Source organism: Homo sapiens, chromosome 17 (genome assembly GCF_000001405.40).
Source record: "Homo sapiens chromosome 17, GRCh38.p14 Primary Assembly".
NCBI classification, from domain to species: Eukaryota; Metazoa; Chordata; class Mammalia; order Primates; family Hominidae; genus Homo; species Homo sapiens.
The window spans coordinates 80,120,219-80,126,894 of record NC_000017.11 but is presented as its reverse complement, the minus strand read 5'-3'; the positions used below and the strand labels follow the sequence as shown (position 1 = coordinate 80,126,894).

General features: G+C 52.7%; 1 annotated feature.

Moving 5' to 3' along the window:
- Window positions 2,770-3,392: an enhancer, noted in NCBI's record as "H3K27ac-H3K4me1 hESC enhancer chr17:78097302-78097924 (GRCh37/hg19 assembly coordinates)". NCBI's record gives its function as "activates a minimal SCP1, AML or CMV promoter by ChIP-STARR-seq in naive H9 embryonic stem cells {active_cell/tissue: H9 hESC(naive)}" and the evidence as "EXISTENCE:reporter gene assay evidence [ECO:0000049][PMID:30033119]".

Below are 6,676 nucleotides of genomic sequence, written 5' to 3'. Positions count from 1 at the left end.
GATAATCTAGGTGGACACAATCTAATCTCATGAGCCCTTAAAAGTCAAGACTATTCTTTGGCTATGGTTGGTCAGAGAATGATGTGATGGAAGGAAGGACAGGCATGAGAGGGACTCAAGTCCCTCATTTCTGGGGTTGAAAAAGGCATGAGCCAAGATATGGGGGAAGCCTCTGTAGGCTGAGAAGGACCTCTGACTGACAGAAGGGAAACAGAGACCTCAGTGCTACAACTGCATGAAACAATTCTGCCAGTAGCCCATGTGGGCAAGGAGACGGATTCTCCCCTGGAGCTTCTGGAAAGGAAGGCAGCCCTGCTGACACCCCGATTTCAGCCAGGAGAGCCCTTGTATCAAATTTCTGACCTATGGAACTGTGATGAAATACATTTGTGTTATTTTAATTCCCTCAAACTGTGGTCATGTGTTACGGCAGCACTAGAAAATTGACGTATGTTATAACTCTATAATAAGGAACGACCCAGTTTAACAATGGGCAAAAGAGGCGAACAGACACTTTACCAAAGAAGATTTATGGCTGACAGATAAGTGGGTGAAAAGATGTTCAACATCAGTAGTCATTAGGGGAGTGTAAGAGCCACAGTGAGATACACAGTCACTAGAATGGCTAAAAGGAAACAGACCACGCCAATGCTGGCCCGGATACGCAGCCCCTGCCAACTCCCCTGCACAGTCGGGAGGAATGCAGAATGGTGCAGCGATTTGGAAACAGTTTGGCAGCCTCTTAAACAATGAATAGTTTACCTCCCGTATGAACTGACCACATCATCCTTGCTATTTGCCCAAGAGAAACAAAATAATGTCAAAGACTTGTCCATGACTGCTCATAGCAGCTTTATTCATAATAGCCAAAAATTGCAGAGAGGGGCTGAGGGTGATGGCCCTCGTTTGTAATCCCAGCACTTTCAGAGGCCAAGGCAGGAGGATGACCTGAGGCCAGGAGTTCCAGACAAGCCTGGGAAACACAGTGAGACACCATCTCTACAAAATATTTTAAAAATTAGCCACATGTGTTGGTGCATGCCTGTAGTCCCAGCTGCTCAGGAGGCTGAGGTGGGAGGATCAATTAAACCCATGAGGTTGAGGCTATGGTGAGCTATGATGGTGCCACTGCATTCCTGCTTGGGTGACAGAGCAAGACCCTGTTTTTGTTTTGTTTTGTTTTTTGAGATGGAGTCTCGCTCTGTTGTCCACGCTGGAGTGCAATGGCACGATCTCGGCTCACAGCAAACTCCGCCTCCTGGATTCAAGCAATTCTCCTGCCTCAGCCTCCCAAGTAGCTGGGATTACAGGCGCCCACCACCACGCCCGGCTAATTTTTGTATTTTTAGTAGAGATGGGGTTTCCCCATGTTGGCCAGGCTAGCCGTGAACTCCTGACCTCAGGTGATCTGCCTGCCTCAGCCTCCCAAAGTGCTGGGATTACAGGCGTGAGCCACCACGCGCAGCCAAGACCCTGTCTTTAAACAAACAAACAAAAAAATCAAAAACAATTCTGATATCCATAAAGGACAGATAAAGAAATGGTGGCATTTGCATACAGTGGAAAACTATTTAGCAACCAAAAAGGATGAGTTATTGATGGATAAATCTCAAAGAAATTATGTTGAGTAGTGTGTGACAAAAAAATTCCCCTTTATACAAAATTCTATAAAATACAAAGAAATATATTTTGACAAAAAACATACCAGTGGTTTCCAGTCAGTGGGTAGCTGGAGACTTTGAGGGTGATGGAGATGGTCACCATCTTAACTGTAGAGCTGGTTCACAGACATTCACATGTCAAAACGGATCAATTTGCACATTTTAAATATGTGCGGTGCATTGTCCATTGATTATATTCTCTCACGTGGGCATCACCGACAGGAGTTCTGTCTATTTCAGTCACCGTTTCACCCAACTCCTGGAACAGAGCCTGACGCAGAGCGGGTGCCCAGCACACGTGGGGAAGAACAATGAGTGTCCGGCTGCACGCATGGTTCTGACTGTGCTTCCAGCCCGGATGCTCTGCTCTTCCCACACACCCTCTTCCTTGTGAGGCAGCTGGAATCACTCTGTTGCCTGCATTCCCGGTTCCCGACGTCACACCTGGGTTGTTTGGGAGGCCAAGGGAACAGCTGTAGGTGCCACCGCAGAAGTCCGTCTTCTCTGCTAATGCTGAGCTTTTTTCTCTCTTGTCCCTGGCACGCAAATAACCAGCCTGTTCACATTCCACCCTCTCACCTGGGCCTTCCCTCTGGCCCTCACCCACCATAATCCTGGTCATGTGGCCTTCTGCAGGCACGTATGTGGGGGTGGGGTGGTATAGGGGCACCATCCCTTGTCCTAGCTCCTCTCTGAGCCTCCACCAGATCAGGAAGAGCAGGCATAAGGCCCACAGGGCCCCACAGTGGCCGCCAGAGGGCTTCTCTGCAGGCCATGTAACGGATTATTGATGTCATTGATTTGCAAAAAGGAAAGCTGGGCCTTTGTGGAGACACACCTGGAGGCTGCTGCCAGACAGCACTGATTCTTCCTTGGAGTGGGCTGGGAAGGCAATCGTCTTCCGAACGCTAAGGACCTGTGGGCTCCACGCCGGGCCTTTGACTAATGTCTTACACTTGGAGATTCTCTGCTGGTTTCTATCATCAGCCCTGGCTTTCTGATCCATTCCCCACCAGGCAAGGAAAGAAAGGAAGCGTTTATATTCATCTATACCAACGTAAACGGGAGAGAACGCACCACCCCTTGCAGGACCAGCCGCAGAATTTGCCGAGGGCCCGTCACAAAATGAAAGGCTGTGGGGCCCCTTGTTCAAAAGTTATTCACAATTTCAAGATGGTGACCGTGGAGCATTAAACCCAGCTGCAGCCTGCTGAGCTCGGGGCCTGTGGGCCTGCATGGGTCACACCTGTGAAGCTGGCCCAGCCACACGCAGTGACTCATTGCCCAGAACATGAGCCAAGAGCGTTTTGTCACCAACAGCAGGCCTTGTTTTAGAGGCTGAGCTGGGAGAGATATGAGAGGGCTGAGCCACGAGACCCCCAGGATGTCTTCTCCCAGGGCGGAGGGTGCCAGCTTGAACGCTCCCCGGCACTAAGACGTCTCCGCTACAAGGCTGCCTGGGGTCCACATCCACATTGCTTTATTTTTATTTGAGATGGACTTTCGCTCTTGTTGCCTAGGCTGGAGTGCAGTGGCGTGATCTCGGCTCACCACAACCTCCGCCTCCCGGGTTCAAATGATTCTCCTGTCTCAGCCTCCTGAGTAGCTGGGATTACAGGCATGCACCACCACACCTGGCTAATTTTGTATTTTTAGTAGAGACAGGGTTTCTCCATGTTGGTCAGGCTGGTCTCAAACTCCCAACCTCAGGTGATCCGCCCACCTAGGCCTCCCAAAGTACTGGGATTACAGGCGTGAGCCACCACACCTGGCCTATTGCTTTAAAATTCACCTAAGTTCAATAGGGTCCCACTGAGGCAGGGCCTGTATCAGGCACTGGTGAGAAACAGATGAAGCTGCCTTGAGGTGCCCACAGGCCAGCGTCCCATGTAATGGGCTGTACCGTTTGGACCACCCTGAGGAGACCCCTGGCCTCTCAGAGGATGGAAACAACTCCTCTCCCCCCTCCGACCCTGTCCCTTCCCACACAGGGAGCACTGTCCCACCCCATGCCAACCTCCTCACTCAGGACTCCTGATAGCCCTGTCCTATGGTCTGAAGGTTTGCCCCCGCCCCAAATTCCTGTTGAAACCTAATCCCCAATGACATGGTTTTAAGAGGTGGGGCTGGCCGGACATAGTGCCTCATGCTTGTAATCCCAGCACTTTGAGAGGCTGAGGCAGGCAGATAACCTGAGGTCAGGAGTTCAAGACCAGCCTGGCCAGCATGGTGAAATCCCATCTCAATTAAAATACAAATAAACTAAAATACAAATACAACTAAAGATCCAATTAGCCAGGCATGGTGGCGGATGCCTGTAATCCTAGCTCCTCGGGAGGCTGAGGCAGGAGAATCACTTGAACCTGGGAGGCAGAGGTTGCAATAAGCCAAGATTGCACCATTGCACTACAGCCTGGGTGACAAGAGTGAAACTCGGTCTCAAAAAAAAAAAAAAAAAAAAAGTGGTGGGGCTGTTGGGAGGTGATGAGTCCTGAGGGCCCTCCATCCTCATCAGTGGCATTTAGCGCTCAAGGGAGCTTGTCTTCGCCTTCTACCACGATGATGGAGAGTGCGCCATTTATGATACAGACAGCAGCCCTCACCAGACACAGAACCTGCCTCGATCTTGGACTTCCCAGCCTCCAGCCCTGTGAGAAATCCATTTCTGTTGTTTATAAATTACCCAGTCTTGGGTATTTCGTTACAGCAGCCAAGGAAGGGTCAGATCCTACAAGGGGCTAAGGCTACAGTGGCCCTGCCAGGCTGGGCGGTGGCACAGAAGGTGAGGACGCTGATGGTCGGTCCAGGCTGGCCGAGGCTACCACGCTCCATCAACCCTCCCTGAACGTCTTGGGTGTCAACTGCAGACCTGGCGAGCCTGGCAGAGCGTTAGGGCAGGTCGCCCTCAGCACCGAGACCAGGCACGCTGCTGGCCTCAAGACAAACATTCCTGCTTCTTAACCCCACATGGGACTAGGATGAGGGGAGGAAGTAACATATGTTATTGTCACTACTACGTCCACCTTACAGAGGAACTTTAGGGCGCGAGATGACTTAGTGATGTCAATCTGGATGGTAAAAGTGGCACACGGGGGTCAGGCCCTGGCCTGTGACATGGCAGAAGAGCAGTGTCCGCTTCTACAAAAGCTGACCCAGAAGACAATAGTGCTGGTCACCCAGGTAGACACACTGCCCCCCAGGGATGTCATGCTGCTCCACGGGGAAGTCACTGTACTTTCTGCTCCTGGTTTTCAGGAAGGTGGCAAAAGTAATCCATCGCTCTGCAGAGGACTTCGGGGTTGGCCACTTCTTTTGTTTTTTTTTTGAGATGGAGTCTCACTCTGTCGCCCAGGCTGGACTGCAGTGGCGTGATCTCAGCTCACTGCAGCCTCCGCCTCCCAGATTCAAGCAATTCTCCTTCCTCAGCCTCCTGAGTAGCTAAGATTACAGGCGCGTGCCACCACACCCAGCTAATTTTTGTATTTTTAGTAGAGATGGGGTTTTGCCACGTTGGTCAGGCTGGTCTCGGACTCCTGGCCTCGTGATCCGCCTGCCTTGGCCTACCAAAGTGCTGGAATTGCAGGCATGAGCCACCGCGCCTGGCCTTTTTTTTTTTTTTTTTGAGATGGAGTCTCACTCTGTCGCCCAGGCTGGAGTGCAGTGGCACGATCTTGGCTCACTACAACCTCTGCCTCCCGGGTTCAAGTGATTCTTGTGCCTCAGCCTTCTGAGTAGCTGGGACTACAGGCACACACCACCATGCCTAATTTTTTTTTTTTTTGAGACAGTCTCGCCCTGTCATCAGGCTGGAGTGCAGTGGTGCTATCTCGGCTCACTGCAACCTCCGCCTCCCGGGTTCAAGCGATTCTCCTGCCTCAGCCTTGCGAGACCAAGTAGCTGGGACTACAGGTGTGTGCCACCACACCCAGCTAATTTTTGTATTTTCAGTAGAGACGGGGTTTCACCATGTTAGCCAGGATGGTCTCCATCTCTTGACCTCGTGATCCGCCTGCCTCAGCCTCCCAAAGTGCTGGGATTACAGGCGTGAGCCACTGCGCCTGGCCTTAATTTTGTATTTTTAGTAGAGATGGGGTTTCACCATGTTGGCCAGGCTGCTCTCAAACTCTTGACCTCAAGTGAGCTGCCCGCCTGGACTTCCCAAAGTGCTGGGATTACAGGTGTGAGCCACTGCATTAATTCTAAGTGATAAACTGAAGCGTCTGACTGGCTAAGGGCAGTGATTTCTCCTGCTGTTATTTCAATAAAATGGGCTTCTTTCCCTTTCTCTGGGCTTGCCAGGGAGAACCTGGGCCTGAAATCCTCTCTAACTGCATCACTTGGGGACAGATTTCTGGCCTCTGCCTAAAGTCTTAGGCCCCACTGTTGGAAAGCCCCTTCCTTGCAGGGTCCTGTTGTCTACACAGCCCTGGGGGCCACACTCCCACCACATGCCTAACACCCACTGGACATTCCCCAGTCACCTTAGAGATGGGGGAAGCAGGAGTGTGAGGATGAATGGGGAGAGGAGGAGAGGAGGTGAGGAGGGGAGAGGGGGTGAGGTGGGGTAGGGAGGGGAGGTCAGGTGAGGGGAGGAGGGGAGGGGAGGAGGGGAGGGGAGGTGCGGTGGGAGGGGAGGAGAGATGACATAGGGAGGGGAGGTCAGGTGAGGAGGGGAGGTGAAGTGGGATGGGGACGGGAGGTTGGGAGGGGAGGAGAGGTGACATGGGAAGGGGAGGTCAGGTGAGGAGGGGAGGGGAAGGGAGGTGGGGTGGGAGGGGAGGTGGGGAGGGAAGGGGAGGTGACATGGGGAGGGTAGGTGAGGAGTGGAGGGGAGGGGAGGTGGGGAGGGGAAGGGAGGTGACATGGGAAGGGGAGGGGAGGTGAGGTGGGGTGGGGAGGGGAGGGGAGGGGAGGTGGGGAGGGGAGGTGAGGTGGGGAGGGGAAGGGAGGTGACGTGGGGAGGGGAGGTCAGGTGAGGAGGGGAGGGGAGGAGGGGAGGGGAGGTGAGGTGGGGT